Genomic DNA, 20,137 nt, shown 5'->3' with positions numbered 1-20,137 from the left:
CTCGAACTCCTTACCTCAAGTGATGCACCTGCCTTGGCCTCCCAAAGTACTGGATTACAGGCATGAGCCACTGCACCCTACCAGGATTAGTTATAATGTGGATTCTGATATCATATCAGTGAACTTATACTCACTCTGTTACATTAAAATCTGATGGTCTGTCTTATACTTTGAGTGACTGTTTTACCCATGTTTACTTTTGCAAAAATTATGCATTGGTCATGTGGAAAATATCAGTCCACTGAGTTACACAGATTTTCCAAATGTGGACATATCTCATTCCACAGTGCCAAAAAGTCTTATTTGTCAATATGACTACCACTCTCATCAGACAAGTTTTTAAATATTCAGAAGCTTTCAAGCTCATGGTGTCAAATACAAGTTTTCCAAAAATGTCATTTTTGCTTGTAAAGTTGAGTGTTATGATTGGCAACAAATACAGTTGATCGTTTTCCTTGAAATGAAAGGCATACGTGATTAAATTTTGAAAAAATGTTTGCCAGATAGCCAAGTCTGAATGATCAGTTTGTCTGATAGTCCTTCAAGTAAAAATGGTGTTGCAAGAAAAAAGTGGCTAGTTCAGTCCTCAAGTATGTACTTTGCCATTATTCTTCCGTATGCAGTGCTTTATAATTAATTCCCATTTCCTTTAAGTAGAATATTGAAAAGATGTATCTTCAGGGGTTGAGATTTAGTAAATTTAATAATTTTGCTTCATCTAGTTTATTCTTTAGTGAAACTGGCTTTTTTCTTAATACCAGTGCTTGGCAGTGAAGAATACAGTTATCTAGTACAGGTTAGGGCTACTGCCTTGATTCATGTTAAAGCACCTGCAGTTTTATCCACTATTGCTTTTGCATCATTAGTGCGCATGTCAACACAGGAAAGAAAGTGATTCAAGAAGAGAAAGGGCAATTGTTTTGAATACTAGTGAGAGGTCAAGTAGGGGTTAGATGAAAAGATGTCCTTTAGATTTAGCAACATTCTCAAGGTCATTGATCTTAATGAGAGCTGAGTGGAGTGGTGGTGAGGGGCAGATCTGAATGGGTTGAGGAGTGAGTGGAACATGAAATGGAGGACATGTGGAAACTTTTTTGAAGAATTGAATTGGAAAAGGAGTGTGGGGTTTTTTCTTTTAAAGGTCAAAGAGATAAGAAAGAGAGTGAATAATCCCTAGGGTAAGGATTCTGAAAAACTGGGAGAGAATTGGCTTTTGTATAGAAGCAGTGCTTCTTAAATTTTAATGTGCATAATGAGAGTCACCTGGGGATCATGTTAAAATGCATATTCTGATTCAGTTGGTCTTATATGAAGCTTGATATTCTGCATTTCTAATATGGTCCTAGATTATGCAGAAACTGTTGGTCAGAAAATCCCACCTTGAGTAGCAAAACCCTGATCCACTGGTGGAGAGATTGGTTTTAGGCAGAAAGAAGTTGTGTACTGCCGTTGTAACAGAGAAGATAGAGACGTTAGATGCACATGTTTTGGGTTTGATGGTAAAAAGTTAAGGGCTGGGACTGGGCGTGGTGGCTCATGCCTATCTGCAGTCCCAGCACTTTGGGAGGCCGAGGTGGGTGGATCAGTTGAGGTCAGGAGTTCGAGACCAGCCACGGTGCCTGGCCCTGAGTTATAGTCTTAAAAATTGATTTGCCTGTGCTACTCCCTTTTACAGAATCTGTTGGGTTCTTCACCTACAGGATCAAATTTAAATGTCTTCAAAGACCCCTCCTGCATATTCTCACATGTATACACTACTTCCACTTTACTATACTTTCAGTTCTCCACTGGACTACGAGCTCGTCTTTGTTTTCCCATTGCTAAGCATAGTGCCTGGCACACAAATAGCTAATATCCAGATACTGAAGGAGTGAATTGAAGAGATTGCTTATATTGGACCTGTTTTCCACCTAATGCCTAAAATGCCCATGGAAGGTATTTGTGGAGTTGAGAAACTTGTTGTTAGTATGCAGGAGGAAGAGTATTGTATTCTTTTTTGTTTTTTTTTTTAGCAGATACAGTATCAATAAGTACTTTCCTTACTTTCTACCATTAATATACCTGCCTTTTCTTTCTTTTTTTTTTTTTTGTTTTGAGACGGAGTCTTGCTCTGTCGTGTAGGCTGGAGTGCAGTGGCGCAATCTCGGCTCACTGTAACCTCTGCCTCCCGGGTTCAAGCAATGCTTCTGCCTTAGCCTTCTGAGTAGCTGGGACTACAGGCGCACACCACCATGCCCAGCCAATTTTTGTATTTTTTAGTAGAGACAGGGTTTCACCATATAGGCCAGGCTGGTCTCGAACTCCTGACCTCGTGATCCTCCCGCCTCGGCCTCCCAAAGTGCTGGGATTACAGGTGTGAGCCACTGCGCCCGACCTGTACCTGCCTTTTCTATATTGACCTGTTTTCTTCTACCCAATGGCAGAGTAATAGGGAAATGAATTACTTTTGTTGATCAGCCCTGACCCTTTACTGGAGAAGGAATGTTCATTGATATATCAAATATGTATAATCCTCAAGAGTTAAATAAATGAGCTGAACACGGTGGCTCATGCTTGTAATCCCGATACTTTGGGAGGCTGAGTCAGGTGGATGACTTAAATTCCGGAGTACAAGTCCAACCTGGCCAACATGGCGAAGAAACCCCCTCCCTACTAAAAATAGAAAAATTAGCAGGGTGTGGTGGCACATTCCTGTAATCCCAGCTTCTCAGGAGGCTGAGGCACGAGAATCGCTTGAACTCGGGAGGTGTAGGTTGCAGTGAGCCCAGATTGCACTACCACACTCCAGCCTGGGAGACAGAGTGAGACTCCGTCTCAAAAAAAAAAAAAAAGTTAAATGAATTCCTGTAAACAGACAGCAACTGTGTATGTGCTTCTTTTCAGTGGACAGCAGAGAGAAGTGCTGGAATGAGAAACACTGTCTGTGAGGGTTTACCTGGGACTCCAGGGGGTCCATAGGTGATTAAATTCAGGGAGCTTTTGTGACGATTACCAGAGTTTCTGTCAGCTAAAAAAATGTAGAGGCCAGGCTCCACTGGTGGCTCATGCCTGTAATCCCAGCACTATGGGAGGCCAGGGCGGGTGGATCACCTGATGTCGCGAGTTTGAGACCAGTCTGGCCAATATGGTGAAACCCCATCTCTACTAAAAATACAAAAATTAGCAGAGGTCTGGTGGCATGCGCCTGTAATCTCAGCTACTTGGGAGTCTGAGGCAGGAGAATTGCTTGACCCTGGGAGGCGGAGGTTGCAGTGAGCCGAAATTGCACCACTGTGCTGCAGCCTGGGCTACAGAGTGAGACCTTGTCTCAAAAAAAAAAAAAGTTAAAAACCACTCTTAATAGTTTCAACAGGAAAAATACAAGGAAAATTTATCAGAGATAGATTTTTATCATTTTTATTTATGGGTATGACATTGTGTTTTATAACGCTTTGTAAGTGTACTTTGCATAGTTCTTGACTGTATCATTAGATTGAATTCTTCAGAGTCAGTGAACTCTTTCTTACTCATCTTTGTGTCCCACCCCCAACACTTAGCATAGCACTTGGTGTAGAAAGGCATTCAATAGATGTGTTGAATGAATTGCAGTCAAATTTGTATGTGTATTTTAATTGGAGAAAAGCAAACTTACATCTTATAATTGGACTTTACCCCCTTTTTCTTTGCAAGGGAAAACCACAATTTTCAGCTGCTGTACCAGGAGTTATTTTTAGCTCAGCAATACCAAGAAAGTCAAGGCTGGGAGCAGAGGCAAAAATGGAATATGAAATGGATCAAAAGATGTTGCGTTATTTATTGTCTTTAAGAAACCAGATGTGTTCAGGTTTTTCAGTTAAAATATTTCATTTTTTTAAAATGAAGTGCCTGATTTACAGACTATTTTATAAAATATCTCTACTACAGATAATGCCCTTTATTTTTTTTAAAAACAGTTATATTCTTTCATGTCTTTGCCAATCTTCTGAAATCTTGGCCCAAGTTCAAGTGAAAAAAGCATATGGTAGTTATAATACAGAAAATATTACAGTTCCCAGGGAAATTCTTTCTCTTTGGAACCTCATGTAACCTTTTTTTATTGCTTCCATCAGGGAAAGATTCTGATGTCTTTACAGGTAGCATTTTGGAAACCAGTGCCTAATTTGGAGTCATCTGAAGATTCTTCATAATCTCACTTGTGTGGTTGACTACTCTGACAGGAGTTCTGTATAGACTGATTGATCCTAAAGTTTCCTAAATAGGCTTCCTAATCTATTGGTATTATATTAATAATATAGTACTCACGTTAAGATAATAAAAAAGAAGAATTTCTACCTGTAATGTAAGAGGTAAATACTTGGCAAGCTTAAAATTTTGAGCAACTGTAATTATATATAAAATTTTGTGCCTAGAAGTATCATTTTAGCATTATTCAGGGAGGGCTGTGATTATTCTATGAATGATAGTTAACTTTTTCTTAAATTTGTTTAAATTACATACGGGGAAGTTAGCTTTTTATTATTGTACATTGCTATGAGTCATGTAACCACCACTATAATTGAAATGCAGAACATTTCCATCACTTTGAAACATCATCTAGTGCTGTCCCTTTGAACTCAAACCCTTTCCCCATCCCAATGCCTGGCACTTGGTGGCCTGTTTTCTGTTGATATAGTTTTGACTTTTCTAGAATGTCATGTAAATGGAATCATATATACAATACGTAGTTTTTTGAGTCTGATTTCTTTCACTTAGCATATCGCATTTGAGATTCATCTGTGTTGCTATTGTGTCAATAGTTCATTCTCTTTAGTTGCTAAGTAATATTCCTTTTCATGGATGTTTTGGTGATTATGACCTAAACTGCTATAAACAGTAGTGTATAGATTTTGTGTGTGTGTGAGAACATAAGCTTTTAAAAAATATTTATTTATTTATTTGTTTTTTGAGACAGAGTTTTGCTCTTGTTGCCCAGGCTGGAGTGCAGTGGCGTGATCTTGGCTCACTGCAACCTCCACCTCCCGGGTTCAACCGATTCTTCTGCCTCAGCCTCCCAAGTTGCTGGGATTACAGGTGCCCGCCACCATGCCCGGCTAATTTTTGTATTTTTAGTAGGAACAGGATTTTACCATGTTGGCCAGGCTGGTCTCGAACTCCTGACCTCAGGTGATCTGCCTGCCTCAGCCTCCCAAAGTGCTGGGATTACAGGCGTGAGCTACCACGTCCAGCCATAAGTTTTTATTCTGAAATTCTTGGAGATAAATTCAACAAGATGTAGAAATTGAAAAACGTATTTCAAAATTTATATGGAAATGCAAAGGACTTATGCTTGCCAAAACAACTTTTATGAAGAACAAAGTTGGGAACTAACACTAGTCTATATTTCAATATTTATTATACAGCTACAGTAATAAAGACAATGTGGTATTGATATAAACATAGACAAATAGTACTGTGGAACAGAATATAGAGTTCAGAAATAGACTTCCACATATATGGAAAACTTATTTTGACAAAGGTACAAAGGCAGTTCAGTAGAAAAAGGATAGTTTTTTTTGTGATGCTGAAACAATTGGATATCCATATGCAGTAAGTTTAACTTTGATACTATCTCACACTATATATATTTTTAAAAACCCAGATGAATCATAGATCTAGTTGTAAAACCTAAAACTATAAAACTTCTAGAAGAAAACATAGGAGAAATTCATTGTGACCTTGCGTTATGCAAATATTTCTTTAGATAAGCACCAAAAGCACAATTCATAAGAGAATAAATTTTTATGTTCGAAGGTTTTTACTTCTAATTTAGTTTATGTGATAGATATAGGATTATCCAGGTTATCTAATGCTGCTTGCGTGAGTTTTGGTAGCATGTCTTACTTTATTTTTTTTTGAGGTGGAGTCTCGCTCTGCCGCCAGGCTGGAGTGCAGTGGTGTGATCTTGGCTCACTGCAACCTCCGCCTCCTGGGTTCAAGTGATTCTCCTGCCTCGGTCTCCTGAGTAGCTGGGATTACAGGCGCCTGTCACCACACCCGGCTAATTTTTTGCGTTTTTAGTAGAAACGGAATTTCACCATGTTAGCCAGGCTGGTCTTGAACTCCTGACCTCAGGTGATCTGCCTGCCTTGGCCTCCCAAAGTGCTGAGATTATAGGCATGAACCACCACGCTCGGCCAGTAGAATGTCTTGTAAGGAATTTGTCTGTTTAATCTGAATTTAAATTTATGGGCATAGAGTTGTTTGTGATATTCCCTTTTATCCTTTTGATATCTGTAGGGTCTTTAGTGATAAACCCCTTTTTCATCCTGATACTGGTTATTTTTATCCTTTTTATTTTGGTTAATCTGACTAGAGATTTAGCCATTGTCCAAGAACCTTTTCCAAGAACCAGCTTTTGGCTTCATTCATTTTCCCTATTTTTCTGTTTAAAGTTTTATTGATTTCTGTTCTTTATTATTGCTTTCTGCTTTGGTTTTGGGTTTAATTTGCTCTTTTTCCCTCTGTTTTCTTTCTTTCTTTTTTTTTTTTTTTTTGAGACAGAGTCTCGCTCTGTCACCCAGGCTGGAGTGCAGTGACAGGGATGTTGGCTCACTGCAAGCTCCAGGTCCTGGGTTCAAGCGATTGTCCTCCTACCTCAGCGGATTACAGGCGCTCAAGACCACACCCGGCTAATTTTTGTATTTTTAGTAGAGATGGGATTTCACCAACTTGTCCAGGCTGATCTTGAACTCCTGACCTGAGGTGATCCACCTACCTCAGGTGATCCACCTGTCTCAGTGTCCCAAAGTGCTGGGATTACACACGTGAGCCACCACACCTGGCCTTTTTCTCTGTTTTTCTTTCTTTCTTTCTTTTTTTTGAGATGGAGTTTTGCTTTTGTTGCCCAGGCTGGAGTGCAATGGTGTGATCTCGGCTCACTGCAACCTCTGCCTCCCGAGTTCAATCGATTCTCCTACCTCAGCTTCCTGAGTAGCTGGGATTACAGGCATGCACCACCACATCTGGCTAATTTTTTTTTTTTTTGTATTTTTAGCAGAGACGGGGTTTTCTCCATGTTGGTCAGGCTGGTCTCTAACTCCCAACCTCAGGTGATCCGCCTGCCTCGACCTCCCAAAGTGCTGGGATTACATGCGTGAGCCACCACGCCAGCCCTTCTCTGTTTTCTTAAGTGAAAGCTGGGGTTTGATTTTTGAAAGCTGGGGTTTGAGGCCTGAAGCATTTAATGCCATAAATTTTTCTTTATATACTACTTTAGTTGTATCCTACAAAGTTTGATGTTATATATGTATTTCAATCAGTTAGTAATTTTTTTTTTTTTTTTTTGAGACAGGGTCTGGTCCATACGGAGAAACCCCATCTCCAGCCCAGGCTGGAGTGCAGTGGTGTCATCTTGGCTCACTGCAGCCTTGACCTCCCAGGCTCAAGCCATTTTTCCCTGCCTCAGCCTCCTGACTAGCTGGGATTACAGGCATGTGCCACCATACCCGGCTTATTTTTGTATTTATTGTAGAGACAGAGTTTTGCTGTGTTGCCCAGGCTGGTCTGGAACTCCTGAGCTAAAGCCATCTGCCTGCCTCGGCCTCCCAAAGTGCTAGGATTACAGGCGTGAGCCACTGCACCTGGCCGGTCATAACATACTAAGGAAATAAGCAAATTATGGGATAGTATTTATAGTATGGTTCTACTTGTGAATTACGAAAACATAAAATGTTTAAGTATATGGAAAAATGAGGCCAGGCGCAGTGACTCAGGTCTGTAACCCCAGTGCTTTGGGAGGCTGAGGCAGGAGGATTGCTTGAGCCCAGGAGTTTGGAGCTCCTGAAACATCCGGGTAGCAGGGAGTTATGATTGCACAACTGTACTCCAGCCTAAGTGACAGAGTGAGACACTGTCTTTTTAAAAAACAAAACCAAAAAAGGTGGGGTGCAGTGGGGCATGTCTGTAATCGCAGCACTTTGGGAGGCTGAAGTGGGAGGATCATTTGAGGCCAGGAGTCGGAGACCAGTCTGGGCAACAGAGAGAGAACTTATCTCTTAAAAAAATCAATGTATAAAAAATAGGGCCTGGCGCAGCGACTCCCCACACTTGGGAGGCCAAGGTGGGAGGATTGCTTGAGCCCAGGAGTTTGAGACCAGCCTGGGCAACATAGTGAGACCCCCATCTCTACAAAAAATAAAAAAAAAGTTAGCCAAGCATATGGTGTTTAAGGCTGCAGTGAGCTGTAATTGTGCCATCCTACTCCAGTCTGGCCTACAGAGTAGGACTGACTCTCTTAGAATTCAAAACAAAACAAGAAAAGGACTAACACTCATCAATCTTTAGATACAGTATTACCTCTTTGGTTGAAATTATGGGGACTTTCACTTTGTACATTATATGTTTCTATGGTATTTTCATTTTATTGCTTTGTACTCAGAAAAAAGCTAAGACACAATCTGGACTCGGTGAGTTCATCCTGATCTTTTGCCCTTTGGCTCTGATTTCCAGCCGCACCACAATACTTGTGGATCATTTATATCAGTTACTTATTGCTGTGTGACAGATCACCCCAAAGTTAGTAGTATTAAACAAGAATTATGCTAACAGATTATCTGGATTTTGGAAACTGGAAAGGGTAGAGTGGAGATGGCTTGTCTCTGTTCTGCGATATCTGGGACCTCAGCTAGGAAATCTCAAAGATGGGAAGTGACTTGACACTTAGGCACTAGAATCACCAGATGATTTGTTCTGTTGCATGTGGTCGAGCCTGGCTTCTAGCTGGGACCTTGCCTAGATTTTTTAGTTGAAACACCTACATGTGGACTCTCAATGTGGCTGCTTAGGCTTCCTCACAGGATGGTGACTGGGTTCTAAGAGCATGAGTCCCAAAAGAATGCAGCAGAAGCTGTATCATCTTGTTCATTGAGTTAGCATTTGAAGTCACACAGTGGTCACTTTCACTATAATCATAAGCCTGCTCGGATTCAAGAGGAAAGAACTCAGGCCCTCTCATAGGGAAGACTATCAAAGTCACATTTTAAAAAAGATTATGTGGGGTGGGAGGTAGATAATGTTGTGGACATCATTGGAAAATACTAGCTGCCTTATCATGTAATTCCTCAAGCATCTTTTCTAAGACAGGGTCTCACTCTCATCCAGGCTGGAATGCAGCTCACTGCAGCCTCTACCTCCTGGGCTCGAGTGATCCTCCTACCTCAGCCCTCTAACCCCCATCCGGTAGCTGGGACTATAGGCATACACCACCATGCCCAGCTAATTATTTAAAATTTTTGTAGAGATGGGATCTCGCTATGTTGCCCAGGCTGGTCTTGAACTCCTGGGCTCAAGCAATCCCACCTTGGCCTCCCAAAGTGCTGGGATTAATGGTGTGAGCCACTGTGCCTGGCTGATGCATTTGGATTTTATCCTCAGGGTACTGAAGGATATGAAATTAACAGATTTGTGTTTTAAAAATATATCTTTGGTAATAGGTAATAGAATGGTGAATGGACTGGAGAATCTAGTGAGAGATTCTGGTTAGGAAGCTGTGGTAGTAATACAAAAAAGAAGTGAGGAGGGTTGGAATTCTAAGGACAGATACTAAACCGAGTTAGGAGGTAGAACCAACAAGATTAAGTCTTAGATTTTGTATTTTAGAAACAAGAGTTCTGGAAAACTTTTATGAATTTTACTTGAGTGACTAGGCATATGGTAGGTTAGAGGATATGCGTAATATGGCTTTTGGTAGAGAAGCGTCTTTTAGTTTTGGGCAAGTTATGTTTGAAGGCTCCTGAAACATATCCAGGTGGCAGTAGATGAGTAGGGGAGGCAGTTGTGTCTGCAGTTCTGTTATTTAGAAGAGCAGTTTGGGCTAGAGGCTAGAGTTGACATTTTGCTTTACTATGGGAAATGAGAGATGGAAGTGGATTCAGTTGTTTGTGTTGTGGGAAAGTTGGGGGCAGGTGGGTAGAGTGAGGTGGGTGACCCTGTGGGAATTGGGCCAGGATGAAGTTGTGTATGGAGGGATGGGGGTATATTTGTGAGGGATTGGGCATGTGTGGTGGAGTTCATTAAGGGAGCTGAAGGAATTCTTTTCATTTGGCTTCTCATTCTGGATGCAGAAAAAAGTTATTCAGCATGTAAAAGGCTAGTGTCACTTCTGTGCAGGAAACTCTGCTGTGTGCTGTATGAAATAAATCCCTAGTCCTGAGGAGCTTTTAGGAGAGAGTTACAATGGATAAGAAGAAATAAAATATAAATTCTAAAGAGAAAAAAACAGGTCTGTTTGGGGTAGTTAGGGAATGTAGTCTAAAAGTCTAGGAGGTGACATTTAGGCTGAGATAGAAAGAATAACAAGGCCGGGCGCGGTTTCTCACGCCTGTAATCCCAGTACCTTGGGAGGCCGTGGCGGGTGTATCACAAGGTCAGGAGATTGAGACCACCCTGGCCAATATGGTGAAACCTCGTCTCTACTAAAAATACAAAAATTAGCCAGGTGTGGTGGCAGGCGCCTGTAATCCTAGCTACTTGGGAGGCTGAGGCAAGAGAATCGCTTGAACGCAGGAGGCAGAGGTTGAAGTGAGCTGAGATTGTGTCACTGCACTCCAGCCTGGGCGACAGAGCAAGACTCTGTCTCAAAAAAAAAAAAAAAAGGAAGAATAACAAAGAGCTAGCTTTGGAAAGAGTTAGGGGAAAAGGATTTTAGACAGATGGAACAGCACACACATTAGCTTTTATCTGTCTGTCTATCTATCTATCTATCTATCTATCTATCTATCTATCTATCTATCTATCTATCTACAGCTGTCTCTATATTTTGAAACCCATGTGTTCAGGCCAGGTGTGGTGACTCACGCCTGTAATACCATCTCTTTGGGAGGCCAAGGTGGGCAGATCACCTGAGGTCTGGAGTTTGAGACCAGCCTAGCCAACATGGTGAAACCCCGTCTCTACTAAAAAATACAAAAATAAAATTAGCCAGGCCCAGTGGCTTGTGCCTGTAGTCCCATCTCCTTGGGAGGCTGAGGCAGGAGAATTGCTTGAACCCAGAAGGCAGTGAGATGAGATTGTGCCACTGCACTCCGGTGATAGAGTGAGACTCCGTTTCAAAAATCAACAACAACAAAGAAAAACAAAAAACCATGAGTTCATACAAGTATCTCTAGTTCTAATCTAACACCACAGGGCTCATGCTAGTTTTCTCTTTCTGTATTTTCAGTTCTCTTTTCCTTCAGTGAGAAACATTATCCTTCCCATTATCCTTCATATATTTATTTGATCAATTCTTCTGTATGTATCAATTGCCCATCACTGGGACATTCCATTGCACAAATGTCCTGTTCACTTTGCTCATGCTGTAATATCCTATACCAGAATGATCTCCTCTTCTTTCCAGATATGCTGCTCCTCAGTGCCAGTGCTGGACATAGCTCTTATGTAGATGTATAAGAGGTTATTTCAGTAGTGCAAACCAGACTTTGAAGTTGGCTTAGATTAGAGGTTATTTTAATTTAATTTACTTTTATTTTATTTTTGAGAAAGTCTCACTCTGTCGTCCAGGCTGAAATGCAGTGGCGTGATCTTGGCTCACTGCCCCTTCCACCTCCAGGGTTCAAGCAATTCTCCTGCCTCAGCCTCCCAGCAGGGAGCTGGGACTACAGGCACAAGCCACTGCCCCTTGCTAATTTGATTTTTTGTGTTTTTTAGTAGAGACGAGGTTTTGCCACATTGGCGAGGCTGGTCTCGAACTCTGTAAGCCAGGTGATCTGCCCACGTTGGCCTCCCAAAGTGCTGGGATTACAGGCGTGAGCCACCACGCCAGGCCTGTTTTTTGGGTGTTTTTTTTTTTTTTTTTTTTTTTTTGGAGACAGAGTCTCTCTCGCTCTTTCGCCTAGGCTGGAGTGCAGTAGTGCGATCTCGGCTCACTGCAACCTCCACCTCCCAGGTTCAAGTGATTCTCCTGCCTCAGCCTCCCGAGTAGCTGGGATTACAGGCATGTGCCACCACGTCCGGCTGATTTTTGTATTTTTAATAGAGACGGGGTTTCGCATGTTGGCCAGGCTGGTCTCGAATTTGCCTCAAGTGATCTGCCCACCTCAGCCTCCCAAAGTGCTAGGATTACAGACATGAGCCACTGTGCCTGGCCCATAGGATATATTTTGGAGGGCTTAATTGGTGGGATTTTTTTTTTTTTTTTTTTTTGAGACCGAGTTTCGTTCTTGTTGCCCAGGCTGGAGTGCAGTGGCGTGATGTCAGCTCACTACAACCTCTGCCTCCTGGGTTCAGGCAGTTCTCATGCCTCAGCCTCCCCAGTAGCTGGGATAACAGACACGTGCCACCACGCCTATCTAATTTTTGTATTTTTAGTAGAGATGGGGTTTCACCATGTTGGTCAGGCTGGTCACGTACTCCTGACCTCAGGTGATCCACCCGGCTCGGCCTCCCAAAGTGCTGGGATTACAAGTGTGAGCCACCATGCCTGGCCTAATTGGTGGGATTTAACTGATGGGTTGGGTGTGAAATGGGGGGAAATCAAGAATGATTCTCAGCTTTTTGGCTTTCTGGATGGTTGACATTTACTATGATGGAGATTTGGGAATAGAGGCACACATCAGGAGTTTTGTTTTGAATATACTCATTTTAAGATGCCTGTGATATTTCTAAATGGAGATAGTGATATTGAGTCAGTCTAGGGTGGAGAAAATACTTAGGGAGTTTTTGTGATATGTGGATGAGATTTATATTTGTGGTGTATGAACTAAGAGAATGGATGAAATCCATTAAAAAGGTAATTAAAGAGATAGGAAAGATGACGAGGGAATCTAGGAAGGAAGCTAGAGTGGAAAACCAGGGGAGTCATAAATCGAGAGAAAATTGAAGAAAATACTCATTCCAGACCGTGAAAGAAATGTAGCAGAATTATTAGGTATTGTGCTCATTTAAGGTTGGTGATCGTAAATTTATAGCAAGGTCAAATTTCCTGATAATGTGAATATTTTTTCTTTGTCAATCCCTGTTGACATAGATTCAGACCTAGGGAATGTGGGGGGTCGTTCATTTAGCCAGAAATGGGGCAAGGGATTTGAGAGTTTTGCTCATAGAAGGTAGTCGAGTGCTTGTCCAATAACCACAAAGGTCAAGTTGAATTATCTTCTTTTTTTTTTTAAACAGGGTCTCACTTTGTTGCCCAGGCTGGAGTACAATGTACAATTATGGCTCACTGCAGCCTGGACCTCCCTGGGCTCATGTGATCTTCCCATCTCAGCCTCCTGAGTAGCTGGGACCTCAGGCACGTGTCCCCACACCTGCTAAATTTTGTGTTTTTTGTAGAGACCAGGTTTTACCATGTTGCCCAGGATGGTCTCGAACTCCTGGGCTCAAGTGACCTGCCCACATCAGCCTCCCAAAGTGCTGGGATTACAGGCATCAGCCACCATGCCTGGCCTCAAGTTGAATTATCTGTCAACACAGGGTTTCTCTGAAAATGATGCTATGAAATTCCCTAACAGTGGAAGCATCAGGTTTTTTTTTTTTCTGTTTTTTGTTTTGAGACTGAGTCTCTCTTTGTCTGTCGCCCAGGCTAGAGTGCAGTGGTGCGATCTCGGCTCACTGCAAGCTTCGCCTCCTAGGTTCACACCATTCTGCCTCAGCCTCCCAAGTAGCTGGAACTACAGGCGCCTGCCACCACACCCAGCTAATTTTTTGTATTTTTAGTGGAGATGGGGTTTCACCGTGTTAGCCAGGATGGTCTCGATCTCCTGACCTCATGATCCGTCCTCCTTGGCCTCCCAAAATGCTGGTATTACAGGCGTGAGCCACCGCGCCCGGCCAGAAGCATCAGTTTTTAAATCTTATCTGTTTAAATTACAATGGCTGTATTAAAGCAGAATATCCAGCCAAGTATCTATTAGGAAATGACACTTGTTATTTTTTTTAGTTTCAATGTGAACTTTCAGGTAATACAATTCTCTCAACTATCTGTATTTTTTAGAATTCAGTAATTAATGTTGGCATTTTCTTCCCAATGTCTTTGCTTGATTTATAGTTAGATTTTTGAGATTTTGTAATTGGCTTTTCAGTTGTGAATAAATACTATTAACCTATATGCATATGTGTGTGTATGTGTATGTCTGTGTATACATATATTTTTTAAGAGAATCTTACTCTGTTGCCCAGGCTAAAGTGCATTGTGCGTGATCATGGCTCACTGCAGCCTTGAACTCCTGGGCTCAAGTGATCCTCTTGCCTCAGCCTCCCAAATAGCTGCGACTGCAGGCATGCGCCACTATGCCAGCTAATTTTTTTTTGAGACAGGGTGTGGCTTACCCAGGCTAGAGTGCAGTGGCGTGATCTTGGCTCACTGCAACCTCTGCCTCTCAGACTCAAGCCATCCTCCCACCTCAGCCTCCCAAGTAGCTGGGACCACAGGTGCACGCCTCCATGCCTGGCTTTTTGTATTTTTTGTAGTGACAGGGTCTCACTTTGTTGTCCAGCCTGGTCTCAAACTCTTAGGAGCTCAAGAGATCCACCTGGCTCGGCCTCCCAAAGTGCTGGGATTACAGGTGTGAGCCACTGCACCCAGCTGGCTAATTTTTTAATCTTTTTTTTAGAGACGGGTCTCCCTATCTTGCCTAGGCTGGTCTAGAAATCCTGGGCTCAAGTGATCATCCTGCCTCAGCCTTCTGAGTAGCTAGGATTACAGCAGTGAGCTACTGTGCATGGCTTAACCTGTATTTTAATTGAGTACTTTTGTTAGGAATCTTCTAATAGTGTTTTAAAGTTGTTTTAAAGAAAAGTTTTTAGAATTATGTGTAAGATAATGATTACATCTATTTTCACTTGAATAATATGTCTTTATAACCACTTAAAATTTTATTATTTTGGGCAAGGTGTGGTGGCTCACACCTGTAATCCCAGCACTTTAGGAGTCCGAGATGGGAAGATTGCTGGAGCCCAGGAGTTCAAGACTAGCCTGGGCAACATAGCAAGAACTTGTCTCTACCAAAAATAAAAAAATTAACTGGGTATGGTGGTGCATGCCTGTGGTCCCAGCTACTTGGGAGGCTGATTTGAGAGGATTGCTTGAGCCTGGGAGGTCAAGGATACAGTGAGCCAAGATCGCGCCACTGCACTTTAGCTTGGGTGACAGAGTGGGACCCTGTCTTAAAAAAAAAAAAAAAGACAAAATTTTACTATTTCAAGAATTCTCATAAGTTTTAAGTTGAGTAGTGATGACACAAAATTATTGGAATAGTTTTTGACTTAAAAGGCCCTCCACTGAGTTCAGCAGAATTTCTCTTCTCTGAAGACTGAATTTAACATTGTTCACTTCAGATAATTTTGACCCATCTTGAGTTTCATACACTATAATTTCATGTGTTGCAAATTTTATTTGCTATGCTAGTCTATTATAAATTAACAGATAAAGGGGAAATAATATACACTTGAATCCCTTAAGAAAAAAACCTGTTATTTTTAAAACCTCACTTATGAGCAACTGAATTTATAACAGAATAAACTTTAGAGCAAATTTACCTGTTCTGTTAGGTAAGTATTGTTAGCATGAGAGGTATCCAAGTATATTAACTTTGAGTTAACTTTCAAAAATTTGTTACTCATGTAAACCTTTTTGCTAATACATTTCACATAAATACAGTATAATTATATTTATGTATATTTTAAATAAAATATAACAAATTCTATATAATTTATTTTTTTTAATGTATATGTTTTCACATACTGATTGCTAGAGGGTTACTGAGTTTTACATCAAATTTCTTGCTTTATTTTTAGGAATCTGGGATTTTTTTTTACCTTTTTTGTGTGTAAAGTAAATTTTAGTTAAGTTTTCGTATTAAAGAGATAATTTTCAAGAATTTGGCTGTATTTGCCGTAAATCAGTGGCTGTATTACAGGAAATACCACGTAAATGAAAGGAGTCTGCCTAATCCAGCTGATTTCCTTTTGCATTGGCAATTAATGTATTCATAATAGTAGCTTATAGTAATGTGAGTTTTTTTTTTTTTAATTATTAATTTCTGAGACAGAGTCTCACTCTATTGCCCAGGCTGGAGTGCAGTGTCTTGATCTTGGCTCACTGCAAGCTCTGCCTCCCGGGTTCATGCCATTCTTCTGCCTCAGCCTCTCAAGTAGCTGGGACTACAGGCGCACACCACCATGCTGGCTAATTTTTATATTCTTAGTAGAGATGAGACTTCACCATGTTGGCCAGGCTGGGCTCGAACTCCTTAGCTCAAGTGATCTGCCCGCCTCGGCCTCCCAAAGTGCTGGGATTACAGGCGTGAGCCATTGCGCCTGGCCAGTAATGTGAGTTTTTATTAGCAAAACTCACAGAAAGAAAAATCTCATTATCATGTAACTAGTTTAATAGGAATATTGGCTGGACACAGTGGCTCATGCCTGTAATCCCAGCACTTTGGGAGGCTGAGGTGGACAGATTGCTTGAGCTCAGGAGTTCGAGACCAGCCTGGGCAACATGGCAAAACTGCATCTCTACAAAAAAATTTTTAAAAACTAGCTCGGCGTGTTGGCATACACCTGTGGTCCCAGCTACTTGGGAGGCTGAGGTGGGAGGAAGGTTGAGCCTAGAAGGTTGAGGCTGCAGTAAGCCATGATTACACCACTGCACTCCAGCCTGGGCGACAGAGCAAGACCCTGTCTGGAAAAAAAAAAAAGAGGCTGGGCGCAGTGGCTCACATCTGTAACCCCAGCACTTTGGGAGGCCTAGATGGGTAGATCATTTGAGGTCAGAAGTTCTAGATCAGCCTGGCCAACATGGTGAAACCCCATTCTCTACTAAAAATACAAAAATTAGCCGGGCATGTGTTAGGTGCCTGTAGTCCCAACTACTCAGGAGGCTGAGGCAGGAGAATTACTTGACCCCAGGAAGCGGAGGTTGCAGTGAGCCGAAATGGTGTCACTGCACTCCAGCCTGGGTGACAGAGCGAGACTGTCAAAAAAAAAAAAAAGAAAAAGACATTCTTTGATTTTCCTTGAAACCTTGATATAAAAAAAAGTGCATTTTACGTATGTAGGAATATGCCCCGGATACCTTGTTACTGTTGAAAAAGTAACTCAACAGCTAAAAAAACAAATTGGTTTTTCTGTCCAATAGCCAAGGCACAACAGATATTTCTTAGGAACACAGTTGATCACAATTAAAATCTGATACCCTATGAGGTTAGAGCTTTCTGGGTTTTGACCTTTTTGAAACTGGCTCTGTTTTTTTGTTGTTGTTTTTTTTTTTTTTTCTTTTGAGACAGGGTCTTGCTCTGTCACCCAGGCTGGAGTGCACAGGTGCGATCATGGCTCACTGTAGCCTTGATTTCCTGGATTCACATGAGCTTCCTGCCTCAGCCTCCCGAGTAGCTGGGACCACAGGTGCACACTACCAGCCTGGCTTGGTTTTTCATTTTTTTGTAGAGATGAAGTCTCCTTGTGATGCCCAGGCTGTTCTTGAAGTCCTGGACTCAAGCACTCAAGATGGGAGCATCTTGGCTTCCCAAAGTGATGGGATTACAGAGTGATCCACTGCACCCAGCCTAAACTGGCTCTTTAACTATACTTGTTCAGGAAATGCATCGCATTTTAGGGAACACAGCAGGAACTATTATTCCCCAAATTAGCAAATACTACATTCCCCCATGAAATGTATTAAGTTTATACTAAGCATTGCTCTTAAATTTTATTTTTTTTTTGATGTACAGTTTTTACCCTGGGTAAGAAAAATGGATGAATAATTGTATTACTATAAAGCATATGGTAAATCTATTCTTGTCATTTGATACTTGGACTATCAACTTCATTTTATTCTTTATTCAAAAAACTACTATTTTCTAAAGAAAACACATTACTCTTTTAGACTGTGTTTTTTCTTTAGTATTAACACTTTAACAGTCTCTTTTCATTTCTTCCATCTACTACATATGCATATATAGAGCATATGTAGTATGCTCTAACAAGGCTTAAGATTCTGATATGCTAGGCAGTTTTGTGACCTTACCTGAGAACTGCTGGACTAGCTCTTACAACCTAGCCTCAAGGCATTTAATTCCTGACTTAGAAATATTACAAATGACTATATGTCATAGGTTGCCAGTGTTGCTGGCTAGTAAAAAACACCTCTGGCTGGGTGGAGTGGCTCATGCCTGTAATCCCAGCACTTTTGGAGGTTGAGGTGGGTAGATCACTTGAGGCCAGGAGTTCAATACCAGCCTGGCCAACATGGTGAAACCCCATCTCTAGTAAAAATACAAAAATTAGCTGTGTGTGGTGGCGTGTGCCTGTAATCCTAGCTACCCTGGAGGTTGAGGCACAAGAATTGCTTGAACATGGGAGACAGAGGCTGCAGTGAGCCAAGATTATGCCACTGCACTGGTCAACAGAACGAGACTATCAAAAAACAAACAAAAACCTGTGTTTAATCAATGATTACTCAGTCATTGCATGAAAGATGTCTTCTAAAATTTTTTTATTTTTATGTATTTTTTTAATAGTGAGTCTTGCCATGTTGCCAAGCTGATCTTGAACTGCCTCAGCCTCCCAAAGTGCTGAGACTGCAAGTGTGAGCCGCCATACGGGCCCTAAAATTTTTTTAACAGTATTCTTTCTTCTGGACCCTTTAAGTTAAGAATCATCTAAGCAGATATTAAACCATAGAATTAGATATACTTTAACATTCATACAGATTTTTTTTTTTTAAGACGGAGTTTTGCTCTTGTTGCCCAGGCAGTGGCATGATCTCAGCTCACTGCAACCTCCACCTCCCAGGTTCAAGCAATTCTCCTGCCTTAGCCTCCTGAGTAGCTGGGATTACAGGTGCTTGCCACTATACCCGGCTAATTATTTTGTATTTTTAGTAGAGACGGGATTTCATCATGTTGGCCAGGCTGGTCTTGAACTCCTGACCTCAGGTGATCCACCTGCCTCAGCCTCCCAAAGTGCAAGGATTACAGGCGTGAGCCACCGGGCCTGGCCTCATACAGATATTTCTTAAAGGCTACTAAAGGTATGGGAAGTACTCATTTGCATACACTAAGAATAGGAAGATAAATTATTCCATTAAAATGTTGAGGGTATTACCCTTTGTGTTGTCTGTAGCTGTAGTTTAGTCTGTCTAGAGAAACTAGAATAATGTATTTGATGTCACATAGCTGAGATTTCTACTAAATGTAAATTATGATCTTTTCATATTTTAAGTGTTGATAAAATATAGGGAGTATTAATGATATCTCAAAAATTCTGTTTTTGATGGAACTATCTTGGACAGGTTTGTGTAATAAGCATTAGACTGTTAAAGGGAGAGGATGGGGGCTAAAGTTTAGTTTAATATGCTAGGCACTGAGCTGTTTTTAATGTGTATGATTTCATTTAATCTTCATAACCATATAAAGTATTATTATTTATTTTATTTTGTTTTATTTTATTTTATTTTATTTTATGTATTTATTTTGAGATGTAGTCTTGCTCTGTCACCCAGGCTGGAGTGCAGTGGCGCAATATCAGCTCACTTCAACCTCCCTGTCCTGGGCTTGAGTGATTTTCCTGCCTCAGCCTCCCAAGTAGCTGGGACTACAGGCATGTGCCACCATGCCCAGCTAATTTTTGTATTTTTAGTAGAGACGGGGTTTTACTGTGTTGGCCAGTCTGTTCTTGAACTCCTGACCTCAAGTGATCTGCCTGCCTCGGCCTCCCAAAGTGCAAGGATTACAGGCATGAGCCACTGTGCCTGACCTAAAGTAGGTGTTATTTAGCTATTACTTATGCTTTATAAGTAAGGAAACAGACGCAGAAAAGTCACACAGTTGCTGTTCTTTTTTTCACCCCAGTCTTTTAGACCCCAAATCAGTGCTTCTTTCTGAAAAATATGAATTGAGCAGTGTTCCTGGCCTTCTGGGATTTTAAGTGAATAAGGAAATAAAGTGATACATTAAACAGTGTATGTGCTGCTTTTATGAGGGTTAAGGAACATGAAAGTACCACTTAAGTATTTGGGAGCTTAAGGAGGGTTTCATAGAGCAGTTCATGTTTGAGGTGAGCGCTGAATTTTTTTTTTTTTTTTTTCTTTGAAACAGAGTTTGTTTTGCTCTCGTTGCCCAGGCTGGAGTACAGTGGCGTAATCTCGGCTCACTGCAACCTCCATCTCCCGGAAGGGATTCTC

The 20,137-nt window shown here is 41.4% G+C and overlaps 1 protein-coding gene across 21 annotated transcripts in view; it reads left to right on the top strand.

The window, feature by feature from the left end:
* HECTD1 (HECT domain E3 ubiquitin protein ligase 1) overlaps positions 1-20,137 on the top strand; it is a 107,677-nt gene that overhangs the window by 8,946 nt on the left and 78,594 nt on the right. The window lies entirely within an intron of this gene.

Source organism: Homo sapiens, chromosome 14 (genome assembly GCF_000001405.40).
Source record: "Homo sapiens chromosome 14, GRCh38.p14 Primary Assembly".
Classification (NCBI taxonomy): Eukaryota; Metazoa; Chordata; class Mammalia; order Primates; family Hominidae; genus Homo; species Homo sapiens.
This window is presented reverse-complemented; position numbering and strand designations above follow the sequence as displayed.